Source organism: Homo sapiens, chromosome X (genome assembly GCF_000001405.40).
Source record: "Homo sapiens chromosome X, GRCh38.p14 Primary Assembly".
Lineage (NCBI taxonomy): Eukaryota > Metazoa > Chordata > Mammalia > Primates > Hominidae > Homo > Homo sapiens.
In genome coordinates, this window is record NC_000023.11 from 113,096,104 (window position 1) to 113,119,673 (window position 23,570).

General features: G+C 38.6%; 1 long non-coding RNA gene across 1 annotated transcript in view, besides 2 other annotated features; it reads left to right on the top strand.

Annotated features, from left to right (window-relative positions):
- LOC101928437 (uncharacterized) overlaps nt 1-23,570 on the top strand; it is a 477,888-nt gene that overhangs the window by 53,377 nt on the left and 400,941 nt on the right. Inside the window, exon 3 of the long non-coding RNA NR_110399.2 lies at nt 15,847-15,962. This is a non-coding gene — a long non-coding RNA (uncharacterized LOC101928437). The remainder of the gene's footprint in view (nt 1-15,846; nt 15,963-23,570) is intronic.
- Nucleotides 12,587-13,087: an enhancer, noted in NCBI's record as "NANOG-H3K27ac hESC enhancer chrX:112351918-112352418 (GRCh37/hg19 assembly coordinates)". NCBI's record gives its function as "activates a minimal SCP1, AML or CMV promoter by ChIP-STARR-seq in naive H9 embryonic stem cells {active_cell/tissue: H9 hESC(naive)}" and the evidence as "EXISTENCE:reporter gene assay evidence [ECO:0000049][PMID:30033119]".
- Nucleotides 13,088-13,588: an enhancer, noted in NCBI's record as "NANOG-H3K27ac hESC enhancer chrX:112352419-112352919 (GRCh37/hg19 assembly coordinates)". NCBI's record gives its function as "activates a minimal SCP1, AML or CMV promoter by ChIP-STARR-seq in primed H9 embryonic stem cells {active_cell/tissue: H9 hESC(primed)}" and the evidence as "EXISTENCE:reporter gene assay evidence [ECO:0000049][PMID:30033119]".

The window sequence follows — 23,570 nt, forward strand, 5'->3', positions numbered from 1 at the left end:
CATGGAGATAGAGAGTAGAACAATATTTAGTAGAGCCTGGGGAGGGTAGTGGGGGGGGTAGAGGAAAGCGAAGATGATTAATGGGTACAAAAATTCATTAGAAAGAATAACATTTAATATTTGATTGCAAAACAGAGGGTCTATAGTCAATAATAATTTAATTGTACATTTTCAAACAACTAAAATAGTATAATGGGAATATTTGTAACACAAATGATAAATGCTTGAGGGGATGGATACTGCATTTACCATGATGTGATTATTATGCTTTCAATGCCTGTATCAAAACATCTCATGTACTCCATAAATATGTACACCTAGTATGTTTCCAAGAAAATTAAAAATTAAAATAAAAAAGTCCTCAGTGATGCATATGCTACATACTGTATTTTGTTGGTTACACAATGTATACCTGTATCAAAACATCACTTTGTATCCCATAAATATGTAAAATTAGTATGTCAATTAAAAATAAAACATTAAAAAATATGAAACAAGATTTAACTGATTCAAAAGACTACTCCAAATGTAAAATTTTAAACCATAACTTCTTTTCTCAAGTTTTCTACCTCTCCCTCTAAGCAACCGTTATCCTCACTGAGAATACTAATGCTTGCCTTTCTTTGTTCTACCTTATTCACCACTTTTTCTCAGCATTTCATTATTTTTGCCTTTGTTATTACTTTTAATTGATACATAACAATTGTACATATTTATGGGATACAGTGTGATATTTCTATACATGCATACAATGTATGATGATAAAATCTGTGTAATTAGCATATCAGTTACTTCAAACATTTATTATTTCTTTGTGTTGGAAACATTCCACATCTGCTCTTTCCTGCTATTTGAAAATAAACAATAAAATGTCATTAATTCCAGTCAGCTTGTGGTACTATAGACCAGTAGAATTTATTCCTCATGTCTAGATGTACTTTTATGTCCATTAACCAACCTTTTCAGCCACTTTAAATATCACATACTTCTCTGCCAAGTATGAATACTCCTATTGGCACTCAAACCCTGTGTCTTCTTATTTCCCTTACCTCTCCTACTCTCCTATGCATATGCATACCTAGGTCAGTCCAATCATCCTTTTTTTTTTTTTTTTTTGCCTCTCCTCTCAATTTGTCCGGTCCTTGAGTTGCTTGTGATGATTACATTGTAAAACAATCTGACATCACTAAATATGTATTGTTTCACCTTTCTTCAGCTGACAGTATTGGTTAGCAATCTTTTTCTTTTTCCTTTTTTTTTTTTAATCTAGAGAGAGAGAAAAATTTATTTTAAGAAATTGGGTTAGGTGTGGTGGCTCACGCCTATAATCTCAGCACTTTGGAAGGCTGGGGCAGGAGGATCACTTGAGCCCAGTTGTTTGAGACCAGCCTGGGCAACAAGGTGGGACCTTGTCTCTACAAATTTTTTTTTTAATTAGCTGGGCATGGTGCTATGCACCTGTAGTCTCAGCTACTCAGGAAGCTGAGGTGAGAGGATCGCTTGAGCACAGGAGCCTAAGGCTGCAGTGAGCCATGATAGCACGACTGCTCTCCAGCCTGGATAACAAAGACCCTGTCTCGAAAAAAAAAAAAAAAAGAAAAAGAAAAGAAAAGAAAGAAAGAAAGAAAAAGAAAAGAAAAGAAAAATAAATTAATAAATTGGATCACACAATTGTGGGGGCTGGCAAGTCTAAAATCCATAGGAGAAGCTGGAGATTTAGGTAAGAGTTGATGTGGTATTGAGTCTAAAGGTAATTGGGAAAGGATTGATTATTTAATAAATGGTGTGGGATGGCTGGCTAGTTAACATGTAGAAGAACGAAACTGCACCCCTACTTTTCACCATATACAAAAATTGACTTAAGATGAATTAAAGATTTAAATGTAAGTCTTTAAACTATAAGAATCCCATAAGAGGACTTAGGAAACACCATTCTGGACAGAGGCATATTTTTGAGACAGGCATATTTTGTGTTTCAGTCTGGAGTTAGTGTTCTTTCTTCAGTAAGCTTCAGTTTTTGCTCTTAAGATTTTCAACTGACTCAATGAGGACTGTGAACATTATTAAAGGTAGCCAACTTTACTCAAAGTCTACTGATATTAGAGGTTAATCACATATTAAAATACAATTACAGCAATATCTAGACTAGTGTTTGTTAAAACAACTGGACGCTGTAGTCTAACCAAGTTGACATATAAAATTAATTATCTTGGGGCTCACACAGGTATACTCTTCAGTGTCATCCTGGATAAAACACAAATGGTCAGAGAGGTCATAGTTCATTCTTGTGAAAAGGGCATGGGATTCAGCCTCAGCTGCCTGCCCTCTGAAGGTTGTCCCTACCTCCTTATCAATATATCTGTATTTGCTGAACTTTGGGAATGAATAAGGTTAACCCAACCAAGCAATATAAATGTTTCTGACTGATTTACATATTTTGACATTTCTCATGAAGCAGATTTTTTTTTGTTTTCTTGTAGTGCTTTTTGTTTTAGTTTATTATTTTTATTTTTAAAGTAATTTTAACTTTTATTTTAGATCCAGAGGGTACATGTGCAGGTTTGTTACATGGGTATATTGCATGATGCTGAGGATTGGGCTACAAATCATCCCATCACCCAGATAGTGAATGTAGTATCCAACAGTTAGTTTTTCAACCCTTTACCCGCTCCTTCATTCCCCCCCAATTAGTCCCCAGTATCTATTCTTGCAATATTTATGTCCATGAGTACACATTGTTTAACTCCAACTTATAAGTGAGAACATGCTGCATGTGGTTTTCTCTTCCTGTGTTAATTTGCTTGGGATAATGGCCTCCAACTGCGTCTATGTTCTTGCAAAAGACATCATCAGTGTATGTGCCTTTGGATATGAACCCAGTAATGCAATTGCTAGGTCAAAGAGTAGTTCTGTTTCCAGTTCGTTGAAACGCCTCCAGACTGCTTTCCACAGTGGCTGAACTAATTTACATTCCCACCAACAGTGTATAAGCATTCCCGTTTTTCAGCAGCCTCGCCAGCATCTGTTGTTTTTTTTGACTTTTTAATAATCATCATTCTGACTGGTGTGAGATGGTATTTCCCTTTGGTTTTGATTTGCATTTCTCTGCTGATTAGTGATGCTGAGCATTTTTTCGTATGTTTGATGGCCACTTGTATGTCTTCTTTTGAGAAGTGTCTGTTCCAGTTGTTTGCCCACTTTTTAATGCAGTTATTTGTTTTTTGCTCATTGAATTGTTCCTTATAGATTCTAGATATTAGACCTTTGTCAGAGGCAGAGTTTGTGACTATCCTCTTGCATTCTGTAGATTGTCTGTTTATTCTGTTGATAGTTTCTTTTGCTGTGCAGAAGCTCTTTAGTTTAATGAGGTCTCACTTGTCAATTTTTGTTTTCATTGCAATTGCTTTTGAGGACTTAGTCATAAATTTTTTGCCAAGGCCAATGTTCAGAATAGTGTTTCCTGGGTTCTCTTCTAGGATTCTTAGAGTTTAATTTCTTATATTTAAATCTTTAATTCATCTGGAGTTGATTTTTGTATACGGTGAAAGGTAGGGGTCCAGTTTCATTCTTCTGCATACAATTAGCAAGCCATCCCAGTACCATTTATTAAATTATGAGTCCTTTCCCCATTGCTTATTTTTGTCAAAAATCAGATGGTTGTAGGTGTGAGGCTTTACTTCTGGGTTCTCTATTTTGTTACATTGGTCTATGTGTCTGTTTTTGTACCAAGTACCATGCTGTTGTGTTTACTGTGGCCTTGTACAGTTTGAAGTCAGGTAATGTGATGCCTCTGGCTTTGTTCTTTTTGCTTAGAATTGCTTTGGCTATTCCCGCTCTTTTTTTCATTCCATATGAATCATAGAGTGTTTTTTTAATCATTCTGTGAAAAATGGCATTGGTTGTGTGCTAGGAATAACGTTGAATCTGTAGATTGCTTTTGGCAGTGTGGTCATTTTAATGATATTGATTCTTTCAATTCGAGCATGGAATGCTTCTCCATTTGTTTGTATCATCTATGATTTCTTTCAGCAATGTTTTGTAGTTCTCCTTGTAGAGCTCTTTCATCTCCATGGTTAGATGTAGTCTTAGGTATTTTATTTTTTGGTAGCTATTGTAAGTGAGATTTCATTCTTGATTTGGCTCTCAGAATGAATGTCATTGGAGAATAGAAATGCTACCGATTTTTATACATTGATTTTTTATCCTGAAACTTTACTGAAGTCATTTATCAGTTCCAGAAGACTTTGGCAGAGTCTTTAGTGTTTTCTAAGTACAGAATCATATACTCAGTGAAGAGAGGTAATTTTACTTCCTCTCTTCCTATTTTGATGCCTTTTATTTCTTTCTCTTGCCTGGTTTCTCTGGCAAGGACTTCTAATAGTATGTTAAATGGGAGTGGTGAAAGCGGGCATCCTTGTCTTGTTCCTTTTCTCAAGGGGAATGCTTCCAGCTTTTGCCCTTTCAGTATGATGTTGGCTGTGGATTTGTCCTAGATGGTGCTTATTTTGAGACAGATTCCTTTGATGCCTAGTTTGTTGAGGATTTTTATCACGAAGGAATGTTGGATTTTATCAAAGTTTCTTTTTGCATCTATTGAAATGATCATATGGTATGTTTTTAATTCTGTTTATATGATGAATCATATTTATTGATTTGGATATGTTAAACCAACCCTACATCCAAAGCCTACTTGATCATGTTGAATTAGCCTTTTGAAGTGTTTCTGCATTCGGTTTGCTAGTATTTTGTGGAGAATTTTTGCGTCTATGTTCATCAGGGATATTGGCCTGTAGTTTTATTTTTTCATTGCTTCTTTGCCAGATGTTGGAATCAGGGTGAGGCAGGTTTTGTGGAATGAGTTAATGAGTACCTCCTGTTCAATTTTTAGAAATAGTTCAGTAGACTAGGTAACAGCTCTTTGCATGTATGGTAGAATTCACCTCTGAATCTATCTCGTCTGGGGCTTTTTTCGTTCATGGGGTTTTTGTTACTGATACAATTTCAGAACTTGATATTCATCTGTTAAGGGTTTTAATTTCTTCCTGATTCAATCTTTTGAGGTTGTGTGTTTCCAGGAATGTTTCCATTTCCTCTAGATTTTCTGTTTGTGTGTATAAAGGTGTTTACAATAGTCTGTGAGGATGTTTTGTATTTTGGTAGGATCAATTGTAATGTCACATTTGTTGTTTCTGATTGTGTTTATTTGTATCTTCTCTCTTTTTTTGTTAATCTAGCTAGCAGTCTAATGATCTTATTTCAGAAAACAACTTTTGGTTTTGTTGATTCTTTATATGGATTCTTGGGTCTTAGTTTTGTTCAGTTCCACTTTGATTAAGTTATTTCTTTTCTTCTGCTTGCTTTTGGGTCACTTTGTTCTTGTTTTTCTAGTTTTCTAAGTGTGATGTTACATTGTGAACTTGAGATCTTTCTAACTTTTTTACGTAGGCATTTAGCTCTATTCACTTTCTCTTAGCCCTGCTTCTGCTGCATCCCAGGTATTTTGGTATGTCATATCTCTGTTTTCATTTATTTCAAAGAATTTTTTATTTCTGCCTTAATTTCATTATTTATGCAAAAGTCATTTAGGAGCAAGTTATTTAATTTCCATGTAATTTTGTGGTTTGGGGAGACATTCTTGGTATTGATTTCTATTTTTATTCTACTGTGATATGAGAGTATGTTTGGTATGATTTCAGTTTTTTGAATTTATTGAGACTTGCTTTCTGGCTAAGCATGTGGTCAGTCTTTGAATATGTTCCATGTAAAGATGAGAAAAATATATATTCTCTGATTGGTGGGTGGAATGTTCTGTAGATGTCTGTTAGGTCCAATTGACCAAATGTTGAATTTAAGTCCAGAATTTCTTTGTTGGTTTCTCATGTTGGAAATCTGTCTAACACTGTCAGTGGGGTTTTGAAGTCTGCAACTATTATGGTGTGGCTGTCTAAGTCTTTTTGTAGGTCAAGAAGTAGTTGTTTTATGAATCTGGGTGCTCCAGTGTTGGTGCATATATATTTAAGATAGTTAATTCTTCTTGTTGAAGTGAACTCGTTATCATTATGTAATGCCCTTCTTTGTCCATGTTTACTATCATTGGTTTAAAATCTGTTTTATCTTATATAAGAATAGCAACCCCTGGTCTTTTTTTATTTTCCATTTGCATGATAGATCTCTCTATAACCCTTTACTTTTAGCCTATGGGTGTCATTATATGAGAGATGGATCTCTTGAAGACAGCAGAAGGATGGGTCTTGTTTATATATCCGACTTGCAAATCTGTGCCTTTTAAATGGAGGCATTTAGACTATTTACATTCAGGGTTAATAATATGTGAAGCTTTGATCAAATCATGAAGTTGTTAGCTGCTTGCTTTTTAGATTCTATTGCGTGGTAGCTTTATAGAGTCTGTGGGCTATGTACTTAAGTGTGTTTTTGTGGTAGCAGCTATTCTTTTATTTTCATGTTTAGAATTCCCTTAAGGATCTTTCATAAGGCTGGTCTAGGGGTAACAAATTCCCTTAGCACTTGCATGTCTGTACAAGGTTTCATCTCCCCACTTATGAAGCTTAGTTTGACAGAATATCAAATTCTTTGTTGGAATTTCTTTTCTTTAAGAAAGCTGAAAATAGGTCCACAATCTCTCCAGGCTTGTAAGGTTGCTACTGAGAAGTCTGCTGTTAGCTTGACAGGGTTCCCTTTGTATGTGGTGTGACTTATTACCTTGCTGCCTTTAAGATTTTTTTCTTTATCATTGACCTTGGACAGTCTGGTGACTATATGCCTTGGTGATGTCATTTTACATAGTATATTGCAGGTGCTAGATTTCTTGTATCTGGATATTTACCTCTCTAGTAAGATTAGTGAAATTTTCTTTGATTATTCTCTCAAGTATGTTTTCTAGATTGTTTACTTTTTCTCTTTCTTTCTCAGGAATGCCAATAATTTGTAGGTTTAGTCACTCACTTTACATAATTTCATATTCCTCAAAGACTGTTTTTTTTTTTCTTTCTTTCTTTTTTTTTTTTTTTTTTGAGATGGAGTCTTGCACTGTTGCCCAGGCTGGAATGCAGTGGCGTGACCTTGGCTCACTGCAACCTCCACCTCCTGGGTTCAAGCGATTTCTCCCGCCTCAGCCTCCTTAGTAGCTGGGATTACAGGCGCCTGCCACCACGCCCAGCTAATTTTTGTATTTTTAGTAGAGACGGGGTTTCACCATGTTGGCCAGGCTGGTCTCGAACTCCTGACCTCAGGTGATCGACCCACCTTGGCCTCCCAAAGTTCTGGGATTACAGACGTGAGCCACTGCACCCGGCTGTATTTTGAAAATTTTTAAGGCAGCTCTTCAATTCAAGAAACTGATTTATTTCTATTTAAAGTGTTTATCTCTTCCTTCATTTTCTGGATTGACTTAGAAGTTTCTTTGTGTTGATTTCCAAACTTGTCTTGGATATTGTTGAGCTTCCTTACAATCCATGCTTTGAATTTTTTATCTGTCATTTTTGAGTTCCATTTTGGTTAGGGACTATTGCTAGAGAGCTAGTATGATCCTTTGGTGGTATCACTGTCTCTACAATCAGATTTTCCATGGTGCCAGAATTCTAGAAATTTTTTTTGTCCTTAGCGATCTTTCTTTTCAAGTCTTCAAGATTGCTGTTTCAAAACATCACTTTGTTCAGGACCTTATTTCCTCCCACCCCTATCATGTCAATATATTCAAATTATTTAAACTCTTGCACCATAGAAGACAAAGGACCTCAGTTATTTTCCCTCTCCTTTCTACAAATTTATGTACAGTTCTACCTACCTGATTCCTTTCCAAGGCTGATCTGTGCCCTTTATCCTATTTCCTCTGCACAACCCAGCCATCCCATCTCTTCACCAGGATCTCAATTTGTCAATTTTCAAATCTCTCTGCTGTACTCCTACCCTTCTTCCTCTACTTGTCGTTTCCTTTCAGCCAGCGAAGAAGTTCAAGTTGTTCACCTTCAGACCCCAATAAATAAAGCAAGCAAAGAAAATAGTAATCCTTTGTTTGACCCAGCTTCTCCCTTAGGCTGCAGCCTTCATTTCTCTAACACACTTCTTAAGGGAGCATTCTATATTTACTTCATTACTTTTGACTCATGCCATAACTTGCTGAAATTTTTTCACTTTGTCACATATTCTGAAAACATACTAGCTTGAGATTTATCTGAATTGACAAGTACAAATACTTCTGGGGAAGCTGGGGAAAGGAGAATGAGTATCATTATTTATTCCCATTGTTTTGTGACAATTTCAATTGGATTGAGTACTTATAATACTGTGCAGCTCTTTTGAGATCATGTCATTCTTTTATAAGTGGGCAGCAATAATTTTGGTAGTTAAGGCTCTTAGAAGAGTAAAAAAATCTAAGTGAAATTCCGCACTGGTGGTGATGAGGTATTTATTGGAGCACTTAGAGTGCATTATGAGGGTGGAGGTCCCTGTGTGATGACTTTAAAAAGGCTTATCACACAAAATGACAGAAAGGCAAATGAAAGGAGATGTGAAGGCCTTAAAGAAAAGTTGTTCTTATTTAGCAGCTTGCCTCAGTACAATTGCAACAAACAGTTAAACCAATGCAGTGCCACAGGGTCAAAGGTACTATGTTTTTGTGGATTTTGTAAAATAATTTTTCCTCATTTCTGGTGCAGTGGGCTTATCAGAGAGGTAAAAGTTGAGAGTTAAAAGGTGTTTGGAAATTATGAAATAATTGTCCTCATTCCGTACTTCTGCTCAGAGGTCATAAACATTAGATGTTTTTCCTCAGGTAAATTGTGAAACACTAGAAATGTGTAATCAAAAACATTTTGGGGACTCTAGGAAAGTCACCTAAAATAGGGATTGAACACACTTGACATTATTAAAACTTTGACATAGTAAACAGTAAGCTTTCCCTTCATCTCCTTTGGTTCAGTGTTTGAGGTGGGGCTGAGGATTAAATTAAACAAATACAGATTAATAGAAGAAAAGGTGCACAGTTTTTATTATTATTTACAGGGATGGGAGTTCACATAAAAGAAGTAAAAGTCAAACAAGCAGCTAGATTTGGGGACCTATATATCCTTAAAAAAAAAAAAGAAAGGTGGTTTGCTCTTTAAGGGATGACAAATCGTTGGGAAGTGACTAGGAAAAATATGGAGAAACTAATAGAAGGTAGTGCTCTTTTGGAAAGGTCTTTTAATGCAAACTCATCTTGGTATTAACTCCCTGTCTTTTTTCTTCTTTTTTTGGTAAAGGCGGAGACACCTTCATGAGGAGAAATTTAATGCCCTCCTTTTAGGTAGATAAGGGGAGAGAAGAGGCATCTTCTTGCATCTGTTGATTCTCAATTGCATTCAGCTCAAAATAATTCTTATGCCAATGTGGTGTATTATGGGGTGGCATATCCTGATCCTCTTCAATACCAAAGCTCATTATTTTTTGACAAATAGGTAACAATTTATTAGAGATTTAAAAATCCTAATATGTTTAATTCAGCATGAAAATGGAAAGATTAAAATAAGTTTAGCATATCATTTTGATATATTAAAGTCTAGGAAAAAGCTTGGGTTTCCCCAAGCTTTTTTTTCTTTTTTTTTATAAGATGAATGAAAGTGAGGGTGAGAGAGAAGGTAATAGATAAAATATAGAAATGGAGCCAGGTGTATAGAGATGCATTGAATGAACTCTTTGTGGTAGGTGAATGCCAGAGTGCCAGGCTGCTGGGCAGAGCTTGTGAGTATGGAAGCTCCTAGGATGTAAATCAAAGGAAAGACTTTTCTTGGGGGAGACAGCAATGAATTATTTCATCCCTTTTGAAATTTGTTTTGGAGTAAGCTCTTCATTTGAGAACCCAGAGTATTTCTATGAATATTGAAGAAGGCTTCCATTTCTTCTTTTGTTCATTCATCCTTTCTCTCTTCTTCTATCAATGTCTCCTCCTCCCCTTCTGTCCATTTAATATATTATGCTTCAGATGTAGGTGGCATAAATAATATAAAAATGCTCCCTTTGAAAAGCAAAGAGCCTTGGTGAGATGGCTTTTCCTGTCCTTCCTGCTATTTATGCATCTGTAAGAAATGCAAAATTCTTAGTTTGACTGTCAGAGTTTGGTTTAGACATCTTTGATGACTTCTTCATCATTTTGGTAAGGTAAAATACTGTAATTATTCTAAAAAGTGTGATTCTTTTAGTATATACATTGTCTCATATTATCTAGCATTGTTCCGGAAAAGGCACTGCTAAAGTGGCTCATCATCGATTGCCAATAGCTTAACTAACTTTACTATTTGACTTTACCCTCTGATCACAATAGTGTCAAGGCACTAAGCTGACTATTCACACTCTAAACACTTTGTTAACACAGCCAAGCCAATTTCCTTAGTTTTGCTCCTGCCCGCAAGATCAGTCAAGACTTGTGTTTCCAAACATGTGTAATGAATGTGTATGTCTTTTTTCATTGAATATAATTTGTCTTTTTTCATTGAATATAATTTGTCTTTTTCTTTCTTTTCACTATAACGACAACAACAGTAACAAAAGATCCACAGATGAAAGGGGTTTCTTATTTCTCTGAGATCTGTCAGGTTAAAGTCATAGTTAGGTCTATTCATGTGAATGTGTTTTATTCTTCCTCTTTAACCCAATCCATTCACAAGCCATTGTATTTAGGGATTGATTGGAGGTGGAACCGACGGCAAAAAGGCAGGTCACAACTCGTTCATGTTTCCCTTGCAGATGATAGTTGTCTGTAGATACAGCCTGAGTGGCTTTATTGTTTAAGATAAGGCAATGGAGCTGGGCGCAGTGGTTAATGCCTGTAGAACCAGCTACTCTGGAAGCTGAGGCAGGAGAATCACTTGAGGCCATGAGTTTCAGGCACTAGTATCATTCTTGTGAATAACCACTTCACTCCAGACTGGGCAGCATAGTGAGACCCTGGCTCTAATTAAATGAACAAATAAACAAAATGATAGGGCAGTAAATGTTCTTCAAATTCAGACATTTTTTAGATTTAAATTTAAACTTTGTATATGTGAAATATATATTGGATGGAGAAATGTTAAATTAAAGAGAAGCAATGTAAAATAGTATTTAGGAGTGTAGATCTGGGTTCATAACCCACTTTCCACTTGCCAACTCTGACAATGGGCTAACCTGTTTGTGTTTTAGTTTTCCATCTATTAATGGAAATAATAATTATGCCTATGTCATAAGGTTGTGAGATTTGATGAGAAACTATATAAAACATGTGGCACATTATTAATGATCAACAAATGTTTATTATTGTTTTTGTATCATTATTTTAAAAGCTCTTTCCCAGCTCATCGTTATATGTTTTCATCTAGTACTTTTATATTTTCAATTTAAAAAGTGTTTAATTTGTTAACTCAGTGATTGTCAGCCCTTTTGATGTCAGAACCCCTTTATACTCTTAACATTATTGAGGACTCCCCAAGAACTTTTGTTTACATAGGTTATGTCATATTTGAGATTGAAGTTGAGAAATTTGAAAAACTATCCATTTATTTAAAAATAATATTAAATCATATTTTTACATATATTACATATTAAAATACACATTTTATTAAAAGTATCTATCTTTTCCAAAACAAAGATAAATTTAGTGAGAAGAGGTCATTATTTTACACTTTTGCAAATCTCTACAATGTCTGGCTTAATAGAAGACACATCAGGTAGCCTCTGGAAAACTCCATGGTACACATGTGACAGAATAAAAATTAAAATGACAAATAATGCCTTAATATTTTTATGGCAATTGTCTTTATTTTGCAGACTTTCTGCAAGAGTCTCAATAACCTCCAGTTGTTCTCAGGCCACACATTGAGAACAACAGGTTTAACTCAATAAGCGTATGACATAGGATGTTCTTTTTCTAAATATCCTAGCTCCAGATATTGGAGTCCTAATCGTTAGGGCTCTTGCTCCACTCCAGATACGAAATGTTACCATTATTATTTGCTCAATGTAAGATAAAACATATACATGGTTTGTTTCTGAGCTTTCTGATCTCTTTTGTATTGGTTATCTTTTTGCATTAGAACTATCCTTTAACTACTTTAAGTTTATATAATTTTAATGTCAGCAGTATAAATTTCACTTCCAATTCTCTCTTCAAGTCATTGTAGTAGGATTCTTTTTATCTCCAAGACTCTACTGAAACAGCTCTTATCAGGGCCATCAATTATCTATATATTGCCAAAGCCAATGGCCAATTTTCTGTTATTATCTTAACCTTTCAAATGCATTTGCCATGACTGACCATTTCTTCCTTTTTGAAGCATTTTCTTCTCTTGGATTCCATGACACTACACTTACCTGGTTTCTTCCTACCACACTGATAGTACTTTTGGAGTCTGATTTGCTTGATCATACTCTCCTATATGACTTATAACTGTTAAATATTTAAGCTCTATTTTAGGCCTTCTTCTCTGTCATCATTGTCTCCTTGGGCATTGCAAGCAGTCACAGAACTTCCAATTCCATTTAAAGGCCAACGACTCTCAAATTCACATCTTTAAAGAATAGTCAAGATAATTATAAAGAAAAACAACAAAGCTGTAGAAATACAGTATCAGATATTAGGACTTTCATGCGCGTCCATGTGAAGAGACCACCAAACAGGCTTTGTGTGAGCAACAAGGCTGTTTATTTCACCTGGGTGCATGCAGGTGGGCTGAGTCCGAAAAGAGGGTCAGTGAAGGGAGATAAGGGTGGGGCCGTTTTATAGGATTTGGGTAGGTAAAGGAAAAAGGGGCGTTGTTCTCTGGCAGGCAGGGGTGGGGGTCACAAGGTACTGAGTGGGGGAGCTTTTTGAGCCAGGAAAAGGACTTTCACAAGGTAATGTCATCACTTAAGGCAAGAACCGGCCATTTTCACTTCTTTTGTGGTGGAATGTCATCAGTTAAGGCGGGGCAGGGCATTTTCACTTCTTTTGTGATTCTTCAGTTACTTCAGGCCATCTGGGCGTATATGTGCAAGTCACAGGGGATGCGATGGCTTGGCTTGGGCTCAGAGGCCTGACATTCCTGCCTTCTTATATTAATAAGAAAAATAAAACAAAACAGTGTTGAAGTGTTGGGGCGGCGAAAATTTTTGTGAGGTGGTATGGAGAGAGAATGGGTGATGTTTCTCAGGGCTGCTTCAAGCGGGATTAGGGGCGGCGTGGGAACCTAGAGTGGGAGGGATTAAGCTGAAGGGAGGTCTTGTGGTAAGGGGTGATATTGTGGGGTTGTTAGAAGAAACATTTGTCATTTAGAATTATTGGTGATGGCCTGGATATGGTTTTGTATGAATTGAAAAACTAAATGGAATAAGAGAAGGAGAAAAACAGGTATTAAAGGTCTAAGAATTGGGAGGACCCAGGACATCTAATTAGAGAGTGCCTAAGGAGATTCAGCATAGTCCTGCCAGCAAAGATTATTTATTTACTTTAAGAGTTAAGAGTGGCGGTTTGGGGATAGCACCAGGAGATATCAGCTGTGATGGCTTGGAGAAACAGTGTAAACCGGCAGTGTAAACAAGAGCAGGGCATGTATGAGTCGTTGAGAACGGTGAATAGGAGTATGACTAGACAGAAGATAGTAGGGATGACAAGTTTTTTGGGGCACAGTCCAACTTGGTTTGGTGTCTGGAATGAGACTGGGGCCTAATAAAAAGGAGCGTCCAAACAGGAGCTCAAACGGGCTGTACCCTGTGGCATTCCAAGGACAGGCCTGAATTCTGAGAAGGGAAAGTGGTAAAAGTATTGTCCAGTCCTTTTTAAGTTGGTGGCTGAGCTTGGTGAGGTGTGTTTTTTAAAGACCATTAGTCCGTTCTACCTTTCCTGAAGACTGAGGACCGTAAGGGATATAAAGGTTTAACTGAATACCAAGAGCCTGAAAAACTGCTTGGCTGATTTGACTAATAAAGGCTGGTCCGTTATCAGACTGTATAGAGGTGGGAAGGCCAAACTGAGGAATTATATCTGACAGAAGGGAAGAAATGACCGCAGTGGCCTTCTCAGATCCTGTAGGAAAGGCCTCTACCCATCCAGTGAAAGTGTCCACCCAGACTAAGAGGTATTTTAGTTTTCTGACTTGGGGCATATTGAGTAAAGCCAATTTGCCAGTCCTAGGCGGGGGCAAATCCCCGAGCTTGATGTGTAGGGAAGGGAGGGGGCCTGAATAATCCATGAAGAGTAGTAGAATAGCAGATGGAACACTGAGAAGTTATTTCCTTGAGGATAGATTTCCACGATGGAAAGGAAATGAGAGGTTCTAAGAGGCGGGCTAGTGGCTAGTACTATAGCATAGTCTGCCTTTGCTGGTGAGTGGTGATTAGGCCTGGTGGAACTGCCATCAATAAACCAAATGTGATGAGGGTGAGAAACAGGGAAGAAGGAAATGTGGGGAAATGGGGTGAACGTCAGGTGGATCAGAGAGATGCAGTCATGAGGGTCAGGTGTGGTATCTGGAATAATGTGGGAGACCGGATTGAAGTCCGGGCCGAGAACAATGGTAATTGTGGGACTCAACAAAGAGTGGGTACAACTGAAGGAGCCGGGGGAGCAGAAAGTATAAGTGTCAGGTGTGAGGAAGAAAATAGATTTTGGAAATTATGAGAACTGTAGAAAGTGAGTTGAGCATAGTTTGTGATTTTGAGGGCCTCTAAAAGTATTAGAGCAGTGGCAGCTGCTGCACGCAGACATGAGGGCTAGGCTAAAACAGTAAGGTCAAGTTGTTTGGACAGAAAGGCTACAGGGTGTGGTCCCGGCTCTTGTGTAAGAATTCTGACCACACTAACCATGCCTAGGAAGGAAAGGAGTTGTTGTTTTGTAAGGGATTGAGGTTTGGGAGATTAGTCAGACACAATCAGCAGGGAAAGCACGTGTGTTTTTGTGAGAATTATGCCGAGATAGGTAACAGATGAGGATGAAATTTGGGCTTGACTGAAGTAATGGGGGCTGTCTGTGAAGCCTTGCGGCAGTATAGCCCAGGTAATTTGCTGAGCCTAATGGGTGTCAGGGTCAGTCCAAGTGAAAGCAAAGAGAGGCTGGGATGAAGGGTGCAAAGGAATAGTAAAGAAAGCATGTTTGAGATCCAGAAAAGAATAATGGGTTGTAGAAGGAGGTATTGAGGATAGGAGAGTATATGGGTTTGGCACCACGGGGGTGGATAGGCAAAACAATTTGGTTGATAAGGCACAGATCCTGAACTAACCTATAAGACTTGTCTGGTTTTAGGACAGGTGAAATAGGGGAATGGTAAGGAGAGTATATAGGCTTTAAAAGGCCATGCTGTAGCAAGTGAGTGATAACAGGCTTTAATCCTTTTAAAGCGTGCTGTGGGATGGGATATTAACATTGAGCAGGGTAAGAGTGATTAGGCTTTAATGGGATGGTAATGGGCATGTGATCAGTTGCCAGGGAAGGAGTAGAGATGTCCCATACTTGTGGGTTAAGGTGGGGGGATATGAGAAGAAGATGCAAAGGAGGCTTTGGGTTGGGGAGAAGGGTGGCAATGAGATGCAGCTGTAGTCCGGGAATAGTCAGGGAAGCAGATAATTTAGTTAAAGTGTCTCAGCCTAACAAGGGAACTGGGCAGGTGGGGATAACTAAAAAGGAGTGCTTCAAAGAGTATTGTCTAAGTTGGCACCAGAGTTTGGGAGTTTTAAGAGGTTTAGAAGCCTGGCCGTCAATACCCACAACAGTTATGGAGGCAAGGGAAACAGGCCCTTGAAAAGAAGGTAATGTGGAGTGGGTAGCCTCCATATTGACTAAGAAGGAGATGGACTTACCCTCCACTGTGAGAGTTACTCAGAGTATTTGTGATGGTCCTGTAGGCTTCCGAGGCGATCGGGCAGCGTCAGTCTTCAGCTGCTAAGCCGAGAAGATCTGGGAAGGAGTCAGTCGGAGAGCCTTGGGCCAGAGTTCCAGGGGCTCTGGAAGTGGCTGCCAGGTGAGTTGAACAGTCCAATTTTCAGTGGGGTCCCGCACAGATGGGACATGGCTTAGGAGGAATCCCGGGCTGTGGGCATTCCTTGGCCCAGTGGTCAGATTTCCGGCACTTGTGGCAAGCTCCTGGGGGAGGAGGTTCAGGCGTTTGGAGTTCTTGTGTGCTGGAGATGTGGCTGGGGTTTGTCTCACAGTGGAGGCAAGGAATTGCAACTCAGAAATACATTGCTACTTGGCTGCCTCTACTTTATTATTGCACACCTTGAAGGCGGGGTTAATTAAGTCCTGTTGTGGGGTTTGAGGGCCGGAATTTAATTTTTGGAGCTTTATTTCATGTTGGGAGCAGATTGGGTAAAAAAAATAAAATGCATATTGAGAATAAGACGGCCTTCTGACCTTTCAGGGTCTAGGGCTGTAAAGCGTCTCAGGGTTGCTGCCAAATGAGCCATGAACTGGGCTGGGTTTTTCATATTTGATGAAAAAAAGCCTAAATGCTAACTGATTTTGGGAGAGGTCGGATAAAGAAAAAGGAGCGTTAACCTTGACTGTGCCTTTAGCTCCAGCCACCTTTTTAAGAGGAAATTGCTGGGCAGGTGGGGGAAGACTAGTCGAGGAACAAAACTGTAAGCTGGACCCGGTGTGAGGAATGGAGGTGATAAAAGGATTATAGGGTGGGGAGCAGAGGCTGAAGAAGAACTGGGACCTGGCTCGGCCTGGCGAGGAGGTCAGATGGGTCTGTAGAAAAGGAAGATTAGAAAGACTCAGCGACATTTGGAGTTGTGACTGAGGGGACAGGCAGGAGGGAAAGAAGGAGGATTTGGGACGAGTTGCCTTGGGAACAGAGACTAGGGAGGGACTGATGTGTAAAAGAATGCCTGGACGTCAGGCACCTCAGACCATTTGCCTATTTTACGACAAGAATTATTTAGATCTTGTAGGATGGAAAAATTGAAAGTGCCATTTTCTTGCTATTTGGAACCACTGTTGAGTTTGTATTTTGGTCAAGCAGCACTGCAGAAGAAAATAAGGCATTTAGGTTTTAGGTCAGGTGAGAGTTGAGAGGTTTTAAGTTCTTAAGAACACAGGCTAAGGGAGAAGAAGGAGGAATGGAGGGTGGAAGGTTGCCTATAGTGAAGGAGGCAAGTTTAAAGAAAAGGGAGAGTAAAGACATGGAGGGAAGGGGTTCAGGGGTTCTTACCTTCCAGAAAAGCAGGAAAGGGGTCGGGGCATGGAAATAAGGGGTTGGGGCACAGAGATAAGAAGTCGGGGTGCAGAAATAAGGGATCGGGGCACAGAGCGGGGTGTGGAAATAAAGGATCGGGGGGTTCTTGCCCCCAGAAAAGCAGAGAAGGGGTAGAGACACAGAGAGAAGGGGTTGGGGGGTTCTTGTCCCCCAGAACAGTGGAGAAGGGGTAGAGACATGGAGAGAAGGGGTTGGGGGGTTCTTGCCCCCCAGAAAAGCGGTACTTGCTGCTAAGGGTGAAGGACCAAGGCAGGCGTCCCCGCGTGGTCAGACACCTCTGAAACGTGGGTAATAATCAGGCAGTTGTCCCCGTGTGATTAAACACCAAGGGAAGACTGTCTTCCCAAGTCCGTGACCGGCGCCAGAGTTTTGGGTCCACGGATAAAACGTGTCTCCTGTCTCTACCAGAAAAGGAAAGGAATTGAAATTAAGAGAAGGGAGAGATTGAAGGGTGGCACCAAGATTGAAAGGAGAAAGTGGTTGAGGGAGAGTGAGAGAGGTTGGAGAAGAGAGTAAGAAGAGGCCGCTTACCCGATTTAAAATCGGTGAGATGTTCCTTGGGCTGGTGGGTCTGAGGACCCGAGGTCATAGATGGATCTTTTTCACGGAGCAAAGAGCCGGAGGACAGGGGATTGATCTCCCAAGGGAGGTCCTCCGATCCGAATCACGACACCAAATTTCATGTGCGTCCGTGTGAAGACACCACCAAACAGGCTTTGTGTGAGCAACAAGGCTGTTTATTTCACCTGGGTGCAGGTGGGCTGAGTCCGAAAAGAGGGTCAGTGAAGGGAGATAGGGGTGGGGCCGTTTTATAGGATTTGGGTAGGTAAAGGAAAAAGGGGCGTTGTTCTCTGGCAGGCAGAAGTGGGAGTCACAAGGTACTGAGTGGGGGAGCTTTTTGAGCCAGGATGAGCCAGGAAAAGGACTTTCACAAGGTAATGTCATCACTTAAGGCAAGGACCGGCCATTTTCATTTCTTTTGTGGTGGAATGTCATCAGTTAAGGCGGGGCAGGGCATTTTCACTTCTTTTGTGATTCTTCAGTTACTTCAGGCCATCTGGGCGTATATGTGCAAGTCACAGGGGATGCGATGACTTGGCTTGGGCTCAGAGGCCTGACAAGGACCTATTATAAAACTGTAGTTAAAAACTGTACTGATTAAACTAAGTATAAGAATGGATAAACTATCAAATGGAACAGAATTCAGTGAAAAACAACAACAATACTTTCCTTATATAAAGTCACCTGATTCATGACAAAATGAAACTGTAGTGCATTAGGGGTAAGATGCTCTTTTGAATAAATGGTGTTAGCTCAATCAGATATCCAAGTGGGAAAAACTGAATCTTGACTCTTACCTTACACCATACACAAAAATCAATTCCAGATGTATTATAGGTGAAATATAAATCAGTGAAAGATTTTAGAGGAAACCATGATAAAATATCTTTTTTATCTTGAAGTAGGCAAAGATTTCTTAAAGAAGCTAACCAGAAAAAAATGACAAATTGTACTACATTAAAATTTATAACTTTTATCAAAAAATCCATTCAGAGAATTAAGAATTAACTCACTAAATGGGAGATATTTGTGAGACAACGTAACTAACAAATGACTATTAATAAGAATATATAAATAACTCTCACAAATTAATAGAGTGCTAAAAATAGAAAAATGGGCAAAAGATTTAAACAGATATTTTACAATAGAGGATATCCGATGACCAATAAAAATAAGAAAAGTTACTCAACTTCATTAGTCACTAGAGAATGCAAATCAAAATCACAATACAATACCAAATAACCAGTAGAATGACCTAAAGTCAACAAGAACGACAACAACAACAACAGGAAAAAAAAAAAAAAAGGTCTGGTAAGAATATAGAGCACTAATGTTTTCTAACTACGCTAGCAAAGGTGTCAATTCCCATCTTAGTTTATTTTGTCCTCCTATAATAGAATACCACAGACTGGGTTATTTATAAAGAACAGAAATGTGTTTGCTCAGCCTTATCTATTTGGATGTGGTTAAAAAAATTTCAACCAAAGACAGGCACCTAAACCTGAAAGGGGTATGGGTGTCTTGAGTTTTACAGGTGCTATTGTTAGGACTCCTTCAATTACTGGCTATTCTTTCTATGCTGCTTATTTACAACCCAGTTATTGAATTCTTAGAGCTAAGTAAATCATTTTTTTTAGTTGAAAAATAACAAATATATTTGCTCCCAGTTGCGGAGGCTGAGAAGTCCAATATTAAGGACTGGTGCCTGGTGAAGGCTTTCTTGCTGTGTCATTTCATGGCAGAAGGGCAAAGAGGCAAAGGGGATGAGAGAGGGAGAGAGAGACAGAGCAAGAGAAGATTGAACTAATTCTTTTGTAAGGAACCTGCTCTCATGGTAACAAAATTAGTCCATTCATGAGGGCAGAGCTCTCATGGCCTAATCATCTGCCATTAGGCCCAGCCTCCCAGCACTGTTGCATTGGGGATTGTTTCTGTGGGGACACAGGCTTTCTGTGGGGACACATTCAAACCATAGCAATTGATATAATCACTTCGAAAAACTGTTTAATAGTACAGTGGTGGAATATGTTCTATGTTCTATGACCCCCAGTGGATGCCAGGTAACATGGATAGAACTGTATCCTATGTATACTATATATACTATGTTTTTTCCTATATGTACATGCCTATGACAAAGTTTAATTTATAAATTAAGCATAGTAAGAGATTAAAAGCAATAACTAATAATAAAATAGAACAGTTATAGCAATATACTGTAATAAAAGTTATGTGAATGTCGTCTCTCTCAAAATATCTTATTGTACTATACTCATCCTTTTATTTCTTGTGATGATGTGAGATGATAAAATGCCTACATTATTATCAGATGAAGTGGAGTGAATGATGTAGGTATTTTGACATAGCATTAGGCTACTATTGAATTTCTAACAATACATTACAAGAAGGTTTGACTGCTTTGGGTGATACTGAGTTATCGAACGATCATGGTGTTGATGGTTGGATGTCAGGAGCAGATGTCAATGGCTAACAGGCAGATAGCAACTATAGCTTGTATATGCTGGACAAAGGGATGATTCACATCCCAGGCATGACAGAGCAGGATGACGTGAGATTTCATCAAGCTACTCAAAACAGCGTACAATTTAAAACCTATTAATTGTTTATTTAAATAATTTTCCATTTAATGTTTCTGGACAAGGTTGACCATGGGTAAGTGGAACTAAAGAAAGCAAAATCACAAAAAAGAGGGGACTACTATACTAATACAACTGAATAAATCCATACTCATAACAGCAGTTCCACTCCTAGGTAGATACCAATGGAAATGCATACATATGTTCAAGAGAAAACATGTGCAAAAATGTCCATAGAAGACTAAAGTAGCCAAGACTGAAAATTACATGAACAGTAGAATAAATAAATAAATGGAGAAAAATTCACCAATACGACACAGTCATAAAAATGAATGACATTATTTATGCATCTCACAAATATAATGTTGACACAAAATACATTACAGTTTCATTAATAAAAGAGCAAAACCAGATAGAACTAACATTTGCCATTAGATATCAAGGTGGTAGTTACTCTGGGAATGAGAGGACTGTCCAGGAGGGGGTACAAGGAGTGCTTCTGTACTGCTGATCATGTTGTGCTTCTTGATCTTGGTGTTGACACCTACTTGCTTAAACCAAAACCTAGGAAACATTCTTGATTTCTGTCTTTCCTTCACAGCTCACATCCAATCTTTCAAGTCCTCTTGGATTTATCTGCAAATCATATCCTAATTATGACCACTTCTCACCATTTCTAATGTTAAAATATTACTCCAAAACACCATTATCTCTTACCTGGACTTTGCTGCAGCCCTCTAATTAGTTTTCCTGCCTTTATACCTGCCGTCCTTGAGCCCACAGTCCATCTTTCTAAAGCGTAAATCAGATCTTATCACTCTACTGCTTAACACCTCCTAATGAGTGTATTTTAGGGTTCTAAAATAACTGTAGTTTATGAGTGAAACTTCTCCTTTTCAGAAGAATTCCAGCCAAAAATGGGAAAGAAATGATAGATTATAAAATAACTATTGTGTAACATGTAATGAGATCATTGATTTAGGTAATTATCTTTGATGGATGGAAGTGTAGGGGCCAAGACTTGGCCCTCTGAAGGTTCACTAGAAAATCAACTCATGAAAGGCAGGTTAGTAGGAGAAAAGGCATACAAAGGAGTCTTCAGAATGAAGACCCAGAGATACAGAGGAAATTGTCCATTTTAATGCTTAGGTCAACAAAGTATGGACACCCATGTAGAAATATGGTTGGACAAAAAGGATATGATCAAATGCTTATAGACTGAGTGGGGAAACTCAGCAAGGCCTCTCTGTCTAGGTTCTTCTTGACCTCTCTGAGCAAGCATTCCTTCCTTCTGGGTGTGAAGCAGAACCCTCTCTGGAATAGGGGTCTTATGACCTACAGCCAAAGAAGATAGGTAGGATCATTTCTTTATGACCAGTTTTTACACAGAAAGTTGGAGGGAAAATTAAAGCAGTATTTTTAAGTTTTATGGCTGGGTGGAGAAAAGAGCTTCTGGTTTCTCTGACCCACCTTCGAGAAAAAGGATTCTAGTTTCTATGGCTAGCCTCAGGGGAGGATGGGACTGAGAGACACGAGAGCAAGAGAAGGTCAAAGAAAAACTTTTGCTTCTGAGGCTGCTTCTGAGGCCTTCATTTTGTGGGATTATTTTCTGAGCCACAACAGAAGCATTGAATGAAGGACTTACGGGGAACTTTACAATGGAGGGATCAGGCTGCTACCACATGAACCCACTGATCAATCACTAAAAATGACACCCAGAAACTAAGTGTTCCCTCAAGGTGGATTACACAGTACAGTCTATAAAGTAATTTTGTCTAAAAGTGGAACCTGAAACCAATTAAGAAGTAGTTTTCATTTAAAGAAATGTGGGAGTTAGTGGGACAAGTTAACAGCATCACAATTCATTGACTCCGTTATATTGGAGCATTCACCAAGAAAAGAGACTCGTATTCTTTTATAAGTCAGTAACAGGAACAAAAGGAGGGGGTTATTGCTTTAGGGTGGAAAATGAATAAAAACAAATGTAAAGAGTGGAACTTGTTTGGATCCTGCTTTAAATAAAGCAACAGTGAAAAGTGATTTGTGACCTAACTGAATAAATGTAATTATTGTTTAGTTATTAGATGACGATAAAGACATTGTTTTCTAAGTTAGGTGTGACAATGGCATTGTGGTTATGTCAGAAAATATTCATACTTTTCAGAGATGGATGCTAAATTATGTATATAGAAGTGAAATACCATGAAGTCTGGGATTTAATTTAAATGCTTAAGTAAAGCAAAGAAGACAGATGAAGTAAATATGACAAAATATTGATAATTATTAAATTTGGTTAATAGCTCTATGAGGATTATTATGTCATTCTCTCTTTTATAAGTATGTTTGGAATTTTTGATTAAAAACAAATCTCCAATGACTCCTCATATCCACTTATAATAAATTACAAATTCCTCATATACATCTTACAAGATTTACATAATTTGTCTATTTCTCTGACTCATCCCTCTCTACTCTTCCCCCAGTTCACTACCTTTCAGCCACTCTGCTGACCTTTTTATTCTTGAACACAACCAGCTCTTTCCTGTCTCAGAGTATTTGAATTTATTGTTTCTTCTTCTTAGAGTACTCTTCCCTCTCTGGTTACCTCCTCCTTATCATTGGCAGTTCAGCTTATACATCACCTCCTTGGAGGCTGTGCACAGTGCTTCATGCCTGATATCTCAGCATTTTTGGAGTCTGAGAAGGGAGAATTGCTTGAGCCTGGTGTATAGAGGCCAACCCAGGTAACATAGTGAGACCTCGTCTCTCCAAAAAATGAACAAAATTAGCCAGGCATGGTGGCACACACCTTTAGTCCCTACTACTGGGGAGGCTGAGGTGAGAGGATTGTTTCAGCCTGGGAGGTCAAGGCTGCAGTGAGCCAAAATGCACCACTGTACTCCAGCCTGGGCGACAGAGCAAGGCCCTGTTTCAAAAATCTCCTTGGAGAGTTTGTTCCTAACAATCCTAGCTAAATAAGTCTCCATATTCATATTCTACTACAATAGCCAATCGGGAAGATCAGATGATTGTTCAGCAAATACTCACTACCCACCTTTTGGAAGGTTTCCAATCCTATTCTATGTATTGCGAGGTAAGATAAAGAAACTTTGTCAGCGAAAGGGAAAGGTCAGATTTCTTGGCTTGTGGTAGCTTGCATTATGGACTTTAGCTGCCCTCTAAGAATGCTCCTAAATCCTTACTGTGGAGAAAT